The following is a 20,886-nucleotide window of genomic DNA, read 5'->3' on the forward strand; positions in this document are numbered from 1 at the left end:
TGTACATATTACTTTATAATATTACCCCTTCTCATTGTACCTACCTTATTACCTTCAGAAATTTTCTTTTTTTTAATCCTTCTGCCTGCTACTAATCCAGTCATCATTCTTAATACTATTCATCACATAGACAATTTATTCACTCGCGAGGCTTCTAAGTTTCTCGACTTCCTATATCCTGAGTCTTTTTCCCCTCTAATCATTTTCAGACTTGTTTCCATGATTATAGACCATTAAGGAACAACAAAGATCTTTCAATATTTCTATTTAAATTGTCCTGTCGTTCTACCACTACCTCCCTTCTGTCTATATCAGTAACTCCTACAATTCTTCTATTTCTCTGACCTCTCCAGTTCATAGAGCCCATAACTTTTATTTTTTTAATTTTTTTTTGGTCTTTCTAGGATGTTATTTATTAAAAATAGATTCTCTGTCCCTACCCTCACCCCTGCTGGCAAAATGGCCTTTCCCAACATCTTTTCCTGCATGGATAACAGGTCTTGAGGACGCAGATGTGGCATCCTACCTAAACTACAGGCTCAGGCTTTTCTGGGACAGTGAGGCAGCAGCTCTGCCAGAGCCAAGGGTGGAACAGCACAAGACGACATCAGCAAACCCTGGTGCACCTAACTGTGGGCTGCTATGGAGTCTGGGATGGACTGGAGTTCCTCCTGCTCCAGGCCTCGGGAGACAAAATCCACAAAGAGAGACCCAGTGGCCCAGCAGCAGCCCCCTGAGAGCCCACAACTTTTTAACTCTTACGCTTTAATTCTTACATTCTTTTAATTATATTTTAAGATTTAAGACTATAATATCAACCCCGATTAAAGCCAACTCCCCGTAGGTTCCTATGAATGGCAGAGTTGGGAGGGGCACTAAAAAATCCCCGTGGGAACTCATTCGATTTATCTTCTGTAGTTGTCATAGACTCCTCTTAGGTTCCTCTACTTCTAATCTTGGCCTCCCTCATTCTAGCCACCAACCCAGGGTCTACTCTCAATACAGAAGTCAGAGTGATCCTTTAGGTTAGATGTTGTCACTCGTCCACTAAACCATACAGTAGATTCCCGTTTCACTCAGAGAAAAGCCTACAGCCTGCATAGGCCTACGAGGTCCTCGGTGATCCCCCTCCCTGTTGTATTTCTTGCCTCCTGTCTGTTCCTCTTTCCCTTGCTTATTTTTTCACAACACAGTGGCTTTCTGGCCATTCCTCGAATACACAAGGCACACTTCTGCCTTAGAACCTTTGCTCAAGCTATTCCCTTTGCTTGGAACATCCTTCTCCCAAGTATCCCAGTCAGGCCTGCAAGAAGCCTGAATTATTCTACCAGTGACACAATCATTTTCCTAAAACCACTTTTCAATTTTTATACATTCAACAATTCTCCATTGTTCACCAGATAAAAATGTCACCTCGGGAGGGCATTTGAATTTTAAAACATTTGGACCATATCTTATCTTATTTTTGACTACTGAGTAAGATAAATGTTACTTTATCAAGTGCACTTCATACCCTTACAAAACAGTCTTACACAATTTAATGCCTGTTCATACATTTGTTCTTGCAATTTCTGCTACCTTCTTCATATTGTTCAATACTTCTAGTCACTCAAGACACTACTGAATGCTTCTTTCTCTATGAAGCAGGAAATGGTTCTATATACTCTATTTTCACAGTGGAGTAAAATAGATACACATTTTAGGAACAAAACAACCATGCAGATTATAGAAATTAAACTATTTTTTACATACTTTCGAAGGTGAGGAAGTTCAGAAGCTCAAATATGGTTAAGATATGTTTTGCTTCTATTTAAGTCCACATTCCCCACCACTTTAAATCTTCCAAGAAAGATTTCCCTCATTCAAATTAAAAACATTTTGATACAAGACTGGGGGCAGGGAAGTGCTGGGTAGAGAAGGGCGGGGTCCCTGGTGAGGGCTCCACCCTCGGGCCTGTGCCCACAGACCTAAATGAGGACAGGCGTTTCTGTTTTTGCACTCAAAAAGTTGCCTTTTGGCCCGCCACGCCTCCCATCCTGTGCCCATATAAACCCGAGACCTTAAGCGGACACGGACACAAGAGGCTGGACATCTAGAAGAGCAGAAGAATACAGCAGCAGACACCGGCAGATCAGCGATGGCGGAAGGACACGAATGCGAGGGGAGTTCAGCCAGGGGAAGTCTGCGAGAGTCCTGCCACTGGGCAGCCAACTGCAGGGGAAAACCACCGTTCCACTCCATCCCTCGACTTCTGGCTCCCCATCTATCTCACTGAGAGCCACTTACACCACTTAATAAAAGCTTGCACTCAACCTTTCAGCCCACATATGATCTGATTCTTCCAGTACACTGGTCAAGAGCTCAGGCTGTCACATTGGCCCCCTGTCCTTGCAATAAGCAGAGGGTCTATTGAGTTGACTAATGCAAGCAGACGGCAGACGGCATAGCTGAAAGAGTGCACTATAAGTCCTAGACGGTGCCATCCCTTGGGAGCCCAAAAGCACTCCCCATGGCCTCTGCACCTGCCCGTCTGCATGCTCCCCCTAGGGGTTTGAGCACTGGGGCACCAGTGAAGTGAGCCATCCCCCTGTCACATGTCCTGCGAGGAGGATAAGGGAATTCTCCGGTTTTAACTTAATCTGTAAAAGACCTTGTTAAGAGGATGAAAAAGAAGCCACAGCAATGGATAAAACATTTGTAAACTACATATCCAACAAAGGAATATTATGACTGTTTCGAGATTTGCAGAACTGTCTATTTAACCCATAGACTCATGAGCAATAATAAATTATTATTGCTTTAACCAGTGAGATTTGAGTGAGGCTTGTTATACAGCATTACTGTGCAGGTGTCAATTGATATACTCTATATTGCAATATCGATTTCTTAAAATTGTCCTAACCATAATCCTATAGACCATTACTAATTCCAAGCTTGTTCTTTTTATGAAGAGTGTCGCTCAACTCTGATGTCTTTGTTCTGTTTAATATTTTGATTTACACATGAACACAGTTCCCAGCAGCTTTCAAACCTCCAGAAGCCCTTAACATTTCTGATTCTGAAAAATATCTTTTCTTGTTTTCAGCATTTTTTATTGTTATTTTTTATTCTTTTGTATGGGAAGGTACTCAGTTTACCATCCTGAATTAGTAATTCTTTAAACATTTTTGCAATTCCAGTAATTAGAGATATTACTGCATTAGGCATTGAAGATACCATGGTCTTTGCATTTCCTGCTTGCATATCGAGTCCTATGAACTATTTCTGGTGTCTCTGAGTCACTTCCCAGTGTGGTCATTGGCTTTTACTGAGTCTGATTCACCGACCTTTACTGAGGCTCACTCACCAACCTTTGGTCATTCTTGGACATAGAAGCACAAATTCAACAGTGTTGTTTCCCAAAATATGTAATATGCAGGGAAAATTACTTTTCATGTAAAATAGACGTGTCCTTTTAGTATTACCAGTAGATTATTCTAATTATAGACTAGTAACATCCAACAGACTTATTTGGGTTTAGTGACAGACCTATTACTGTGTTCGCTCCTCAGTTCAAATACAGAGTGTGTATTTTGCATCGTGTGGCTGCAAGTTTTGGGGTTCTCCATCATATACTTAGCTATACAATGCCAGCTACTCTTGTCTGGATATTTTCCCAAATCCTGGATGATTACAAACTTCTCCTTCACTGGTGAAATTTTTTTTTTTTTTTTTTTTTTTGAGATGGAGTTTTGCTCTTGTTGTCCAGGCTGGAGTGCAATGGCACAATCTTGGCTCACTGCAACCTCTGCCTCCCAAGTTCAAGTGATTCTCCTGCCTCAGCCTTCTGAGTAGCTGGGATTACAGGAATGTGCCACCATGCCCGGCTAATTTTTTTTTTTTTTTTTAGTAGAGACAGGGTTTCTCCATGTTTGTCAGGCTGGTCTCCAACTCCCGACCTCAGGTGATCCACCTGCTTTGGCATCCCAAAGTGCTGGGATTACAGGCATGAGCCACAGTGCCTGGCCAATTTTTTTTTTTTTAATGAAGGGTCAAACCTGATATTAAGTCTTTCAGACAGTAAGAAGATAACTATTCAGGGTCTACAAGATGGCCAATTAGAAGCAGCTGTGGTCCATGGCACTCAGGGAGAGGAATGAAACGGGGTGAGTGAATTTAGCACTGTCAATTGAGATATTCAGGTTCTCACACTGGGACTGTCTAGGCAAACAACTCAACCCACAGAGAACAAAGAAAAGCAGGGGATGTGGGGCATGATGGCCCACCAGGAGCAGCACAGAGCCAAAGGAACCCCCACCCCCAGCCAAAGGAAGCAGTGAGTGATTGTGTGACCCTGCCCAGGAAACGACTCTTCTCCCACAGATCTTTGCAACACATGGATCAGGAGATCCCCTCACAAGCCCACAACAACAGGGCCTTGGATCCAGTACACAGAGCTGCATGGAGTCTTAGCAGAGCAGCTGCTCAGGCACACACAGAGACCCAGGAGTTTTACACATTCCAGCCTCAGGATCCCCAGCAAGGCAGGAAATCTGTCCACATATAACCCTAGGAAGGGAGCTAAATCCAGGGAGCCAAGCAGCATCATTCTGCAGGCCCCACTTCCATAGCACCTCACAAGTTAAGACGCACTGGCTTGGAATTCCAGATAGCCAATGGCAACAGCCTAGAATCTGCCTGAGATAAGTATGAATTCCTGGGGAAAGGGGGTGGCCACCATCTCTGCAGTCCAGTAGACTTAGCTGTTTAAGCCTGCCAGCTTTGGAGAATACAAATGGTCTGGATGAGGAAAGGTTCCCCATAATGCAGCACAGCTGCCTTGCCAGATCATGGCCAGACTGCTTCTTTAAGCAGGACCTTGATCCATCCCTTCTCAGTGGGCAGGACCTCCCTGTGGAGGCTTCAGCCATTCTAGCCAGTGTTCTACATTGAGAGCTCTGATCTCTCCCTGGGATGGAGCTCCTGGCAGGGAGGGGCAGCCTCCATCTCTGCAGTTCAGTCAACTCAGTCCTTCTAGCCTGTTGGCTTTGCAGAATCCAAATGGTCTGGACGAGAAAGCCTCCTCATAATGCAGCACATTTGCTCTACCAAAAAGCAGACAGACTGCTTCTTTAATCAGGCCCCTGATCCTGTTCATCCCAACTGGATGAGACCTCCCAACAGGGTCTCCAGCCACCTCCTACAGGTGTGTTCTGGCCAGCAACAGGTCAGTACCCCCCAGGGATGGAGCTTCCAGAGGAAGAAGCTGGCTGCCATCTTTGCTGTTTCACAGCCTTCACTGATGATACCTCCAGTATGGGAAAAACCGAGGCAACTAAGGTCTGGAGCGGACTTCCAGCAAACCACAGCAGCCCTACAATAAAGTGGCCTGACTAGTAAAGGAAAAACAAAAAACAGAAAACAACAAGAACAGTATCAATGAAAAGGACCCCACAAAATCCAAGGTCAAAGGTCAGCAAGCTCAAAGATTGAAGGTAGATAAGCCCACAAAAATGAGAAAGAATCAACACAAAAATGTTGAAAACTTAAAAAGCAAGAGTGCCTTTTCTCCTCCAAATGACTGTAACACCTCTCCAGCAATGGCACAGAATTGAGCTGAGGCTGAAATGGCTGAATTGACAGAAGTAGGGTTCAGAAGGTGGTAATAATGAACTTTGCTGAGCTAAAGAAGCATGTTGTAACCCAATGCAAAGAAGCTAAGAATCATGATAAAACAATACAGGAGCTGACAGCCAGAATAACCAGTTTACAGAGGAACATGATCAACCTAATGGAGCTGAAAAATACAACACAAGACCTTCACAATGCAATTACAAGTATCAGTGGGAGAACAGACCAAGTGGAAGAAGGAATCTCAGAGTCTGAACACTATCTCTCTTAAATAAGAGGGGCAGACAAGAATAGAGGGAAAAGAATGAACAACACCCCCCAGAAATTTGGGATTATGTAAAGAGACTGAACCCATGACTGACTGGGGTACCTAAAAGAGATAAGGATAATGGAGTCAAATTGGAAAACATACTTCAGGATATGATCCAGAAGATCTTTCCCAACCTAGCAAGACACACCAACATTCAAATTCAGGAAATGCAGAGAACCCCAGTAAGATACTCCATGAGAAGATAAACCCCAAGACACATAATCATCGGATTCTCCAAAGTTGAAATGAAAAAAAAATGTTAAGGGCAGCCAGAGAGAATGGCCAGGCCACCTACAAACGGAAGCCCATCAGACTAACAGCAGACCTGTCCGTGGAAACCTTATAAAGTACAGTGGTTGGAAGCTATTCTTTAACATTCTTAAAGAAAAGAATCTCCAACCCAGAATTTCATATCTGACCAAACTAAGCTTCGTAAGTGAAGAAGAAATACGATCCTTTTCAGACAAGCAAACACTTAGGAAATTTGTCACCACAGGACTGCCTTGCAAGAGCTCCTCTAGGAAGCACTAAATATGGAAAGAAGAAAACCATTACCAGCCCTACAAAGCACACTGAAATACACAGACCAGCAACACTATGAAGCAACCACATAAACAAGTCTGTGAAATAACCAGGTAGCATAGTAATGACAGGATCCAACTTACCCATAACAATACTAACTTTTAAGTGTAAACAGGGTAAATGCCACAATTAAAAGATATAGAATTGCAAGCTGAGTAAAGAACCAAGACTCACTGATATGCTGTCTTTAGGAGACACATCTCACATGCAAAGACAAACATAGGCTCAAAATAAACGGATGGAAGAAATTTTACCAACCAAATGGAAAACAGAAAAAAGCAGGGGTTGCAATCTTAGTTTCTGACAAAACAGACTTTAAACCAACAAAGAACAAAAAAGACAAAGAAGGGCATTATATAACGGTAAAGGGTTCCATTCAACAGGAAGAGCTAGCTATCCTAAATATATATGCACCCAATACAGGAGCACCCAGATTCATAAAGCAAGTTCTTAGAGACCTACAAAGAGAGACCTGGACTCCCACACAAAAATAGTGGGAGACTTTAACACCCCACTGACAGTATTAGAAACATCACTGAGACCAAAAACTAACAAATATATTCAGGACCCAAATTCAGCTCTGGATTAAGTGGAACTGATAGATATCCATAGAATTCTTCACCTGAAAACATCAGAATATACACTCTTCTCATCATCATATGGCTCTTGCTCAAATCGATCACATATTTGGAAGTAAAACATTCCTCAGCAAATGCAAAACAACTGAAATCATGACAGTCTCTCAGATCACAGTTCAATCAAATTAGAACTCAAGATCAAGAAATTCACTTAAACCACACAACTACATGGAAATTGAACAACCTGCTCCTGAATGACTCTTGGATAAATAACAAAATTAAGGCAGAAATCAAGAAGTTATTTGAAACTAATGAGAACAAAGAGACAATGTACCAGAATCTCTGGGACAGATAAATCAGTGTTAAGAGGGAAATGTATTGCACTAAAGGCCCACTACAAACCTCTGCTCAAAGAAATGAGAGAAGATACAAACAAATGAAGAAACATTCCATGCTCATGGGTAGGAAGAATCAATATTGTGAAAATAGCCATACTGTACAAAGTAACTTATAGATTCAATGCTATTCCCATTAAACTACCATTGACGTTCTTCACAGAATTAGGAAAAAAAACTATTTTAAAATTCATATGGAACCAAAAAAGAGCCTGAATAGAAATAGACAAGACAATCATAAGCAAAAGGAACAAAGCTAGAGGAATCATGCTACCAGACTTCAAACTATACTTTAAGGCTACAGTAACCAAAACAGAATGGTGCTGGTACAAGAGCAGACACATAGACCAATGGAACAGAATAGAGAACTCAGAAATAATACGACACACCTACAACCATCTGATCTTCAACAAACCTGACAAAACAAGCAATGGGGAAAGGACTTCCTATTTACTAAATGGTGTTGGGAGAGTTGGCTAGCCAAATGCAGAAAATTGAAACTGGACTCCTTCCTTACACCATATACAAAAATTAACTCAAGATGGATTAAAGACTTACATGTAAAACCCGAAACTATGAACACCCTAGAAGAAAACGTAGGCAATCTCATTTAGGACATAGGCACAGGCAAAGATTTCATGACGAACATGCCAAAAGCAATTGCAACAAAAGCAAAAATTGACAAATGCAATCTAATTAAACTAAAGAGATTCTGCACAGCAAAATAAACTATCATCAGAGTAAACAGACACCCTGTAGAATAGGAGAAATTTTTTTTGCAATCTATCTATCTGAAAAAGGTCTAATATCCAGAGTCTGCAAGGAACTTAAACTTACAACAAAAAAACAACCAGACAACCCCATTAAAAAGTAGGCAAAGGATGTGAACAGACACTTATCAAAAGAAGACATACATGTGGCCAAGAAACATTTAAAAAATAGCTCAACATCACTGATCATTAGAGAAATGTAAATCAAACCACAATGAGATTCCATCTCATGACAGCCAGAATGGCTATTATAAGAGTCAAAAAACAATGGATGCTGGTAAGGTTGCAGAGAAAAAGGAACACTTTTACACTGTTGTGGGAGTGTAAATGAGTTAAACCACTGTGGAAGACAGTGTGGTGATTCCTCAAAGGCCTAGAGGCAGAAATACCACTTGACCTAGCAATTCTATTATGGGGTACATACCCAAAGGAATATAAATCATTCTATTATAAAGATACATGCATGTGTATGTTCATTGCAGCACTGTTCACCATAGCAAAGACATGGAATCAACCTAAATGCCCATCAGTGATAGACTGGATAAAGAAAATGTGGTGCATACAACATGGAATTATATGTTGGCATAAAAAGAAATGAGATCAGGCTGGGCACGGTGGCTCATGCCTGTAATCCCAGCACTTTGGGAGGCCGAGGTAGGCAGATCACGAGGTCAGGAGATTGAGACCATCCTAGCTAACACAGTGAAACCCCATCTCTACTAAAAAGACAAAAAATTAGCCGAGCGTGGTGGCGGGCACCTGTAGTCCCAGCTACTCGGGAGGCTGAGGCAGGAGAATGGCATGAACCCGGGAGGCGAAGCTTGCAGTGAGCTGAGATCGTGCCACTGCACTCCAGCCTGGATGACAGAGCAAGACTCCATCTCAAAAAATAAATAAATAAATAAATAAATAAATAAATAAAAAGAAATGAGATCATGTCCTTTGCAGGGAAATGGATAGAGTTGGAAGCCATTATACTCAGCAAACTAATGGGAACAGAAACCCAAACACTGCATGTTCTCACTTATAAGAGGGAGCTGAATGGTAAGAACACATGGACACATCACAGGGAACAAGACACACTAGGGCCTGTCAGAAGACCGTTAGTGGGAGGGAGAGCATGAGGCAAGAAAAGCTAATGAATGCTGGCTTGATACCTGGGTGATGGGATGATCTGTGCAGCAAACCACCATAGCACATGTTTACCTATGTAACAAACCTGCACTTCCTGCACAGGTGCCCTGGAACTTAAAATAAAAGTGGAAGAGCTCCCTCTCCCTCCCCCTCCCCCTCCCCCTCCCCCTCCCCCTGCCTCTGCCTCTGCCTCTGCCTCTCTGTCTCCCCTTTCCACGGTCTCCCTCTGATGCGGAGCCGAGGCTGGACTGTACTGCCGCCATCTCGGCTCACTGCAACCTCCCTGCCTGATTCTCCTGCCTCAGCCTGCCGAGTGCCTGGGATTGCAGGCGCGCGCCACCACGCCTGACTGGTTTTTGTATTTTTTGGTGGAGACGGGGTTTCGCTGTGTTGGCCGGGCTGGTCTCCAGCTCCTGACCGCGAGTGATCTGCCTGCCTCGGCCTCCCGAGGTGCCGGGATTGCAGACGGAGTCTTGCTCACTCAGTGCTCAATCTTGCCCAGGCTGGAGTGCAGTGGTGTGATCTCGGCTAGCTACAACCTCCACCTCCCAGCCGCCTACCTTGGCCTCCCAAAGTGCCGAGATTGCAGCCTCTGCCCGGCCGCCACCCCGTCTGGGAAGTGAGGAGCGTCTCTGCCTGGCCGCCCATCCTCTGGGATGTGAGAAGCCCCTCTGCTCGGCCGCCCAGTCTGGGAAGTGAGGAGTGCCTCTTCCCGGCCGTCATCCCGTCTAGGAAGTGAGGAGCGTCTCTGCCTGGCCGCCCATCGTCTGAGATGTGGGGAGCGCCTCTGCCCCGCCGCCCCGTCTGGGATGTGGGGAGCGCCTCTGCCCGGCCACGACCCCGTCTGGGAAGTGAGGAGCCCTCTGCCCGGCCGCCACCCCGTCTGGGAGGTGTACCCAACAGCTGATTGAGAACGGGCCATGATGACGATGGCGGTTTTGTCGAATAGAAAAGGGGGAAATGTAGGGAAAAGAAAGAGAGATCAGATTGTTACTGTGTCTGTGTGGAAAGAAGTAGACATGGAAGACTCCATTTTGTTCTGCACTAAGAAAAATTCTTCTGCCTTGGGATGCTGTTAATCTATAACCTTACCCCCAACCCCCTGCTCTCTGAAACATGTCTTGTGTCCACTAAGGGTTAAATGGATTAAGGGCGGTGCAAAATGTGCTTTGTTAAACTGATGCTTGAAGGCAGCATGCTCCTTAAGAGTCATCACCACTCCCTAATCTCAAGTACCCAGGGACACAAAAACCGCGGAAGGCCGCAGGGTCCTCTGCCTAGGAAAACCAGAGACCCTTGTTCACATGTTTATCTGCTGACCTTCCCTCCACTATTGTCCTATGACCCTGCCAAATCCCCCTCTCCGAGAAACACCCAAGAATGATCAATAAATACTATAAAAAAAATAAAAAATAAAAAAAATAAAGTTGAATCAAAGAAAAAAAAAGTCGAAGAAAAAAAAGAAGATAACCATTTGAATTGCCTCATCAGGTGGCTTGTTATGGGAGAATGTATATTTCCAAGACTCTTGAAATTAAAGAGAGTGAGCTATCATAAACTGTGAGCTCCTAGACAGAAATAATTTAGAGTATGTGATAGTAAGCACACCTGTCAAGGCTCTCTCCTTTGAAGAAAATGTAATGAGGAGGACTCTGAAAGAAATTAGAGCATGTACACACAAAGATTCAAAATCAATCAACATTATTATTACAAAAGCTGAGAGCAGAATTAAAAGAATGCCTGTGCTTGGAATACTTGTTATGGAGAATTTTAATTTGCTAAGAAAATGGATGAGACACTACAGTATTTTGAAGTGATACTTCCTTCTGATCATCAGAACAGGAGCAAAGGAAGAATATTTAAAATTGAAAGCTTTTATATAATTCTTACTGTGTTTTGGGCATTTCAAGTGGGTTCATTTTCCAAGTAGAAAATATTCAGCATCTACTTAGAATGCCTTATTTTATGGAAGAGTAAACTGAAGTAGAGAGAAGATACATAATTTTCTTCATGTCACATGGCTAGTAAATGGAGGAAAGAGGGATTCAAACACAAGAATTTGGGGACTGGATTCCTTTTAACCATTTATAAACTATTATAACCAAAATTAAAAATATAGGTTCATTAAAATGGAAGAGGAACAAGACTTCCTTAGGAATAGTTCTAACTTCTTAGAAGACATATTTCTCATATGAAAGAAAGAGGAGGTTCTCGGCCGGGTGTGGTGGCTCACACCTGTAATCTCAGCACTCTGGGAATTTGAGGCAGGCGGATCACTTGAGCTCAGGAGTTTGAGACAAGCCTCGGCAACATAGTGAGATCCCATCACTACTAAAAATAAAAAAAAATTATCTGGGGATTGGTGGTGCATGCCTGTGGTCCCAGCTACTCGGGAGGCTGAGGTGGGAAAATCACTTGAGCCTAGGGGGTAGGGGTTGCAGTGAGCCAAGAGCATGCTACTGTATTCCAGCCTAGGTGACAGAGTGAGACCTCACCCCCAATTAAAAAAAAAAAGAAAGAAAAGAAAAGAAAGAAAGAAGAGGCTCTCATATCCAGGAAAGATCAATTTTAGAGGGAAGAGGAAATGCACTCAGGGTCAACTGCTCTCAAGGAGTTATTAGAAGAGATTTATTTTGGTTGTTACTAAGGCAGGCAAGATAACTGGATGTAAAGAATCTTCATGGAGGAAAAACAAAGATACAGGATCTCAGAGGGGAGACTAGATAAACTTTACAGAGGAAGACAGGATTTGGGGATTTGTTAAGGAATGACTTAAAATCAACACTATATAAAGGGTTATATGCAATTTGGACATTTTTGAGAAGAGATGCCCTGAGACATCAATTGAAGACTCTCAAATTATTTGATGTTCAGCTCTAGCCTGTGCTTGAAAGGAGCCTGCTTAATTATTTTTAAAATTATGATTCTTAAAGTGTAAGAAAGATGGAACATATTAAAGGAAAAGCAGGCAAACAAAAAATGAGAATACCTTTTAGATACAATTGCTCAACCAAGGAAATTAAAGATATTCAATATTTATCTTAATAGTGCTTGCTTTAGAGGATCCAGACATTGTTAATTGCACATCTCTCAATAGAGAAGACCACAGAGATCAAATCTAGAATATTTTGAAAAGACTAGTGACAAGTACAAACATAAAATTTAAGAAGGAATTTAATTCTAGTGAATATTGCTAATACTACATGTGCTTGAGAAAGAACAGGACAAATTTACAAAGCCTTTCAAACTTCTAGAAATTCAGCTTAAGCTAGACCAGGCCCAGTGGCTCACGCTTGTAATCCCAGCACTTTGGGAGGCCGAGGCGGGTGGATTACCTGAGGTCAGGAGTGAGAGACCAGCCTGGCTAACATAGTGAAACCTCGTCTCTATGAAAAATACAGAAATTAGCTTGGCATGGTGGCACAAGCCTGTAATCCCAGCTACATGGGAGGTTGAGGCAGGGGAATCACTTGAACCCAGGAGGTATAAGTTGCATTGAGCCGAGACCATGCCACTGCACTCCAGCCTAGGCAACAAAAGCAAAATTCCATCTCAAAAAGAAAAAAAAAAAAAGTAGTGAGCCAACTCTTTATTCAGTAGGGGATCCTGTCCGCTAAGGAAAAGGTAATGGAAGGGCATATTCGATTCAGGAGAATGCTAGCTAGCCCAATAAGCTGCAAAGCTCAGCCCCTTCTTTACCAGAATCAAAGCTCACATTTCCACTTCAGTTGATCTGACATGAGTATTTTTCTCTCAGGTGTTTTGAATCTTAGGTCAGAAAGAGTGGTTACCCCTGCGCATGACCACTGTGCCAATGTAACACAGCATATATTACTTTGGGTCTTGACAAAGGGCTCATTTTTAGTGACTGAGTCCTTCTGGCCACCAGGAGACACTTCAGTGCCACAACCACTCACTGACACTTTAGAGTTGCTAAGAGGACTGTCAGGCCGTGGGAAACTAAGAAGAAGCTCAGGCTTGGTACCTGAATCATGAGTCCTACCTGTTGAGCACTGAAAAAGCACTGGAAAGAGAAGGGAGGACCCAAAACTTCTAAACCTGTGCGAATGGGCTAAGACCAATAGTGAGGTTGGGATTTTAGGCAAGTTTGGGATGGTTGTCAGACAAAGAAGCCACTGATATACCACTAGTACAATGCAGTTCGAATTACAATAAAAAGTTATAGGGGGTTTTTTTGGGTCAGAAAGAGAAGAAGTAAAAGAGCACACATGATTCCTATCTCCTTTTATCCTCCAAACTAACTCTCACTAACCCACAGAAATGTTTTCATAGGTGGCACAAAGGTAGGCTGCAACAATTGTGGCCAATATTATGGTAGAGAAGGACCCTGCCCTGTAATGCTCAACATATTAATGTTACGTGAGAGTGGGACAGGGTCATCTCTGTGACAGTATAGTCACAGAAGCCTCTTCCTGCTCAAATAAGTGGCCTTCATTAAAAGAAACACAGAAGAATCTTGTTTCATAAGCTAATGCCAATCACTGAGACAGCAACGGTTTCAGGAACATGAGGGAAGCTGTTGGAATGGGCTTTCCTTTAAACCTAGCCTGGTTCCATCATGCTGATGTGGTGGGGGCTTTAAGTCAGGGCCTGAGAAGGACAGCCTAACTGTGGTATAAGTCAGAGGGCTCCTCATTCCTCATAAGCCGACAAATACATTAATATCATCAGAAAAATTACCAGGGCCTGTGGTGTCCCAAATTCTGATTTCATTTTCCATTGAAGATCAGAGCACAGAGGAAGGAGATACCTCACTCATGTGCTCTTCTTGTTATATGCTCACAGTTTCTTTGTTTCATGACTCTGTACCCTGGAAGAGGTTAGACCTGGATATGCTAAAAAAAAATTTTTTTAATCCCTATCCTAGAATATTGTGGCCTTGAATCAAAGTGTTTTCTATGTTTGTGTTTTCATCTTCCTTCCTAAGCCCTATATCTAGGTTTTGCCTTCTCCATCCACAAATCTCAGGATGCTATGGAGTCTGAAGACACCTGATTGCAGAAAGCACAAGACCCCCCACCAGCACACACACATACACAAACAAATACAGGACCAGAAAGGAGTGGTTACTGCTGATTCTCTAACATTACAAAAATATCACGGTTGTAACTTCTCACCCTGCCAGTCATATGTTTCTCTGTCACTTGACATACTCCCCTCTTTGGGGTGTTGGAGGAAAAATCTCTGTGCCAACAGCAGAGACATGGAACTAGTGTGTCACATCCACTCTATGAACAGAATTCTTACTACTATTTATACCCTAAAAAGCAGGCCATTTTCTAGAGTTTCACCCCCTCACCAGAAAGAATTTATTTGTGAGTATTGGTTGACTTACTATAACAAGAGACTCAAGTGTTAATCATTAAAGGAACCTGTTAGTGCTTTCTTAGAAGTAAGAGGAAGATCACATTTAACTGGAGAGTGCCTTATTGTGGTTTTCAAGGAAGGTCAAAGCTCTTACTTATCACTGCTCAATCTTCACCCATGCCCAAAGAATTAACATAATTTTGAACCTTACCCTGGAGAAGCGAAATGGGACCTTGTCCTCCAGAAATGCAGAAGACACTGTGCTGTGGGCTGGGGGAGTCACGGAGCACGAGAGTATCCATCTCCAGCCCTCACTGGAAATAAAATCTGCACAGTTCTATCTCTTTCCAGGGCAGCCACCTTGTTCTCTGCATGAGGAGCATGGAGGTCCAGATGCTTCCAGGAGGGATATGGGGCAAAGCTCTAACTAAGCAACACATTATTTTGATTTTGTGTGTCTGGGATATAAGGATGGCCGGTAAGGGGAACAATAAAGTTCTTGAGATTTCACAAGTAATTTATTGATGTCCAGAATTTGAGGTGCTGATGGTACACCTAAGTGGCAATATGCACCAGGCAGATCAATATGTGACGCGTCAGAGAAAGCAGAATGGGTGATGTGATGTGCAATGCCACAGAAGCACTGCAGCCAGGAGAGGTGACAGCTAATGGGGATGTTTGGAGTCTTTGAGTGAACCAAACACATCCCAGAGTAATTGTAATTTATTTCAGTCAATCTTCTGTACAGACTTAGCATTCACCTTTGGAGGAAGGTCCTTTGAGCAGGGACAGAGATGGTGATGTCACTGACAGTCCCCCTTTTACTCTGGGTGAGAGGTCTAGAATCCTCAGCTCCTGTATTCGTGCCCACAAGGGCCTCATCTAGGTGAAGGCTCCACCTGCCCCACCCTGCCATGGCCACCAGGCTCCTCTGCTGTGTGGTTCTTTGTCTCCTGGGAGAAGGTGAGTCCCCACAAATAAAGCACCTGCATTTTTGGATATTGCCAGTTATGATTCCAATTATGTTTCTTATTCTGTCCCCAAATTCTATCTCTTTTCACAGAGCTTATAGATGCTAGAGTCACCCAGACACCAAGGCACAAGGTGACAGAGATGGGACAAGAAGTAACAATGAGATGTCAGCCAATTTTAGGCCACAATACTGTTTTCTGGTACAGACAGACCATGATGCAAGGACTGGAGTTGCTGGCTTACTTCCGCAACCGGGCTCCTCTAGATGATTCGGGGATGCCGAAGGATCGATTCTCAGCAGAGATGCCTGATGCAACTTTAGCCACTCTGAAGATCCAGCCCTCAGAACCCAGGGACTCAGCTGTGTATTTTTGTGCTAGTGGTTTGGTCACAGCGCTGCAGAATCACCTGCTCCCTGTGCAGAAACCCTGGTGCTTCCTCTTCTCCTCCAGTACCCAGCAGCTCTCAGCAGCCTTTCTTGCTCCTCCCCTAGCACAGGAAGTACATAGGTTTCGTGTTCCACATGTCCCTAGGCAAGGCAAGAACAGGTCATAAGGACACATCACGTTAGGAAACTTTTGGTAGGAAGTCAGTGGGTGTGATGGTTCCTGGGATTCCACACATACTTCTCACAAGGGTGCCTGAGTCCAAGTTTGAGGGCGAGTGTCACAGACTGGAGCTTTCAAGTGATTGAGTGAGCTTAAAACTGTGCAGCCATTGCACATGGATGCTTATCTCCTTTGCTGCTTTCCGTTATGGCTTCTTTGCCATTTCTTTTCTCTTCTACCTTAAAACTTTCAACATCTTTGATGACTTCCAACATCAATATTGGCTTCCCAGTTTTTTCACTTGCTCACTTCAAATGATCATTTCCTTCACCTTGTGTCAGATATTCATTTCCACTTTCTTTTTCTAGATTCCAATGACAAATTATTTGAATTACCCCCAAATAGTTTCCTCAAGCATCCCATTGTCTCATGCGGGCTTCTCTTTTCATCTCTGGTACTACTTCTGCAGCAATTCTTCAACCCCATCAGGACCACTAATTGACTTCTCCTGCAAATATTGCACCATATATCATCTCCTCATGTACTATATTCCTTATCTGACTTAGACTATGTGTTCCAAGGTGATTGTGAAATTTTGCATATGTCTTCAGCTCTTTTCTTTTTCTGTTTCTTACCTGGAAAATAAAATGGGGCCTACTCTGTGCCCCTTTCAATGACACAGAGAACATAAAATGTCCCTTACCCTTGTCAAGCAGTATTATAACGATACAGTGTGTCTTGAGGTCTGTAAGTCCCTCTATGCATATAAAATTATATACTTTTCTTCTATTAAAATAATTTGTTACCTTTTAATGAGTTCATCAGTTTCATCTTTCAATTATAGTTATACTTTTGACAATTATAGAAGTACTAAAAAAAGTTATGCACCCAGAATGTATGATTCTATCACTTTTATGTGTGTGCGCACTTCACTTCATACGTACAAAAAAGTTAAAAGAATGCCGAATAGGCATATTTATCCATTCTCTTGTAGGAATGATAAAGATGAACTTCCAAGGGGAAAATATTTTCAAAATAATCCATGGCACATAAAATTATTTAAGAAAAAATAAATCAATAAATATCCCTGTTAAGTTTATATATAGTTTTATATGCTTGGGTAAGGAAGAAAAAAAGTTGTGATATATTTTGCTGGTTATTTGGAGAGATAAAATATAGAAAGAGCAGAAAGAACATGATTAGCTTTGTCTTTGTTTAAAATTTTTGCTTTTTAAATTTGATACACTATTTACCATCAAAATTTAAAACAACACCACTGCTATAAAACAATATACAAACAAACTAAAAAGAAAAAGGAATTTACTATGTAAAAAAAAAAAAAAAAAAGCGAGAGCTTATAGGCAGAGTATTAAGGGGAATTTAAAATTATAAAGACCTGTAAGTTTTCAGAGCGGTATAGGCCTCACAGCTGGAGCTGGGATTTTAATGTCCATATGAAAGAGATGACAGAAAACAGCCAGAATTACATTGCTTGCCTTAATCCTGGAGCTTCAAAATGCTCCCAGGCTTTATAAAGTAAAAGTATTACACCCCAAAGACCCAGAAACATAATTGGAAACTGGATGTTTGGTCAGGCCTTTGGGTGATAGATAAAAAGGAAAAGTTAGGAGAGAAAAATTGAATCTTCAGACTGTGTCTCACATGTGTTTGGAATGAAATATACTCTGCATGGAATGTACACCATATACCCAAAAACTGACAAAAAGGTCCATAACCATTAAAACCCTTGGAGACCCTGGCATTAAGAGATTCAATACGGTTCTGGAGTAAACTTCTGCTTCCAACCAAGATAGATTAACGGGAATTAGATTTAACTTCTTGCTTGAAACAGCTAACACCCCAACCCCCACCCTGTCCCCCTGCACACACACATTCACACAACATGTGGAATAACGGTTGTCAAGACATTGGAAGTAGGCAACAGAAGACAGTGATCTCTGAGAGATGGAAACAACCAAGCTGAGAACTATGACTGTCTTAATACCTGGAGGGAGTTTCCAGGCCCTGGGCCAGAAAGAGGAATCCAAGCAGAGCTGGGTGATCTCACTGAGCTGAGTCAGAGTTGGAAATACAAGATCAAAGCAGCTAGATTTCACATGACAGGCCATTGAAAAGGCGATTGCTGCACAGAGAGAATCCTGGAGACCTTCCTAGGGTCTCCCTTAACCCTTCAGCTGTGCTGTAAGCAGTACATGTGTGAGGAAACTCCCTAAGGTTGGAGAAAGAGCCACTCAGCAAGATTAGAGGAAACAATGCCTGGAGCTCACAAAGGGCTGAGAGTAATATATACATATATTACTCTCATATATATATGTATATGTATATTTTTGCATTGAGAATGGGAAACTTAATAATTCATGGGTCAATCAGTAGAGGTTTCAGATGACTTATGCCTCAGTATAAAAGCAAAATAAGCCCTTCACTAAATAAGCCACATTTGGCTCCTGGCCTATGTGGGTGAGACTTCAAAATATCAAACTGTTTCCAAGTAACTTAAGTCTCAGAGCAAAACTAAAGAATATTTCTAATGTACAAGAATACCTGTTCGGAGATATCAGTATGAATTTATTGTTTTTAAACGTATAGATACAATGGTAAAGAAATGAATACATACCTGTGTGAATAATGGGTTGGTATATATACATGTATTTCATACTTCTGTCCACTTAGAAGACCACTAGTGCACAGATGTTTGTTGCCAAATATTATTCTCCAATTAAAAAAAAATGAAAGGTGGTTCTAGGACCCTGAGGTAAAAAATACAAGAATGTTGTAATGAGGTTTTCCAAAAAAAAAAAAAAAAAAAAAAGGATGGGACATATCTCAAAAGGACAGAGGAATCAATCTGAAAGAGCTTCCCCAATGACTAAGGCTGGAACAATTTGTAAAAGAAAATTCACAAGTTCACACTGAGAATGAAACGATTAAATAAATAAATAAATAATAAAAAATGTGAGAAAGGACAATCTCTTACTGAAGAATTCCAAATTGCATATGTAGAAGAAACAGAGGGAAATAGAAAAGTCACTGTGACAACACCACTGTGAGTAACTGCCACACATAAAACCCAATAGTGAGTGCTAAAATTAGTGGGTGTAGCTAATTTTAATTACTAATTAATAACTAATAACTTTAATAACTAATTAAGAAGAAATGGATCATTTGTACAGTCACAAAGTGTCATCCCCAAAATATTAATTAATATGGTGGTTTTAACATATGCCCACACATTCTTTTATACTCATCCCTCTAGATTCCCCTCTCCTGGATTCAGTGGCCTGCCTCTAATGAACAGACATGGGAAATAGAAAAATGGTAACCGAGTGACCAAAGTAAATAAACATGACCCATAATAAGTCTTGTTAACCTCATGTGCATTCTCTTATGATGCAATGTTGTGATGTTATCATGTGACTACATATCTGTAATATTCCTCCCCCAAATCTATAATTCCTGTCTAATAATGAGAAAGCATCAAACAAATCCAAACTGAAAGAGATTCTACAAAACACCTGACCAGTAATCTTCAAATGTCAATATCGTTAAAAACAAGGAAAGAGCTGTCACAAATTGAAGAACACTAAGAAGATATGACACTTAAATGCAGTATGGGATCCTGGATTAGGTGCTAGGGCAGGAAAAGGTCATTATTAGAAAAACTGGGGAAATCTGAGTACAGTCTAGCTTAGTTGTGCCAATGTCAAATTCTTAGTTTGTGTGATGTTAGCACTAGTGGGTGTTGGATGAAGGATATAAAGTCACTTGGTAGTATTGTTATAGCCACAGGACATCAATTCTCCAGCTTTGGGTCACCTGAGTCCCTATCAAGCCAATTTGTGAAGCTGCTGTTAGTTGTCCTTACTCCCCAGTCTTGGAGCTCTCAGTTAGACCTAGAATCAACCTCTTCTTCCTCTTGACCTCTGCTTCACTGCATCCTAAACGTGGTGAGGTGGAGGGGTGGTGAGGGAGGCTGAGCAGAAGCCCATCATTCAGAAGCCCATCACTAGAGCTTCTCTGATGATTCTCTGAGACAGGGGCTCCCTCTGTAGTCTCCTTTGTGCACAATCCCAAGCACGCTGGGCCACACAGACTCCACCAAAGCTAGTTTTGTGAGGAGGCAAATATTGAGGCTCCATTGTGAAGAGAATGTCCATGTCAGATTTAAGTACAAAAGATTAAAGTTGATGCATTACTATTGCAGGAAAATGATACCTGTGAGAATTTCCAAAAGCCAGATTTTGTATTGTGTGGCTGGCTGAGTAATACCCCTCCCCACAAAGACATTCACATCCTAATCCCTGGGATCTGCCTCTGTTACCTTAGATGGTGAGAGTAGACTTTACAGATGTGATGAAGTTAAGGATCTGGAGATAAGGAGATTATTTTGGATTAGCCTGGTGGCCCTCAATGCAATTACATGTGTCCTTATAAGAGATAGCCAGGGGGAGATCAGACACAAATGGAGAAGAGAAGGCAATGTGACCACAGGAGAAGAGATTAGAGTGAGGTGAACACAAGCCAAGGAGTGAGGCAGCCACTAGAAACAGAGGCAAGGAACGAATCCTCTCCTATAGCCTCCAGGGGGAATACGGTCCTGATGACACCTGGATTTTGGTCCATTGATACTGATTTTGGACT

The 20,886-nt window shown here is 42.0% G+C and overlaps 1 gene segment (V, D, J or C) and 1 further gene, besides 3 other annotated features; both read left to right on the forward strand.

Moving 5' to 3' along the window:
• The window catches only part of TRB (T cell receptor beta locus), a 514,277-nt gene that overhangs the window by 266,349 nt on the left and 227,042 nt on the right, over positions 1 to 20,886 (forward strand).
• Positions 15,622 to 16,068, forward strand: TRBV12-5 (T cell receptor beta variable 12-5). The segment is given in 2 exon segments: positions 15,622 to 15,670; positions 15,771 to 16,068. Coding segments are annotated over 2 exon segments (347 nt in total), but the record flags the coding sequence as incomplete, so codon positions are not given.
• Positions 16,069 to 16,075: a recombination feature (RSS_heptamer).
• Positions 16,076 to 16,098: a recombination feature (RSS_spacer).
• Positions 16,099 to 16,107: a recombination feature (RSS_nonamer).

This window comes from Homo sapiens, chromosome 7 (genome assembly GCF_000001405.40).
Source record: "Homo sapiens chromosome 7, GRCh38.p14 Primary Assembly".
In the NCBI taxonomy this organism is placed as follows: Eukaryota; Metazoa; Chordata; class Mammalia; order Primates; family Hominidae; genus Homo; species Homo sapiens.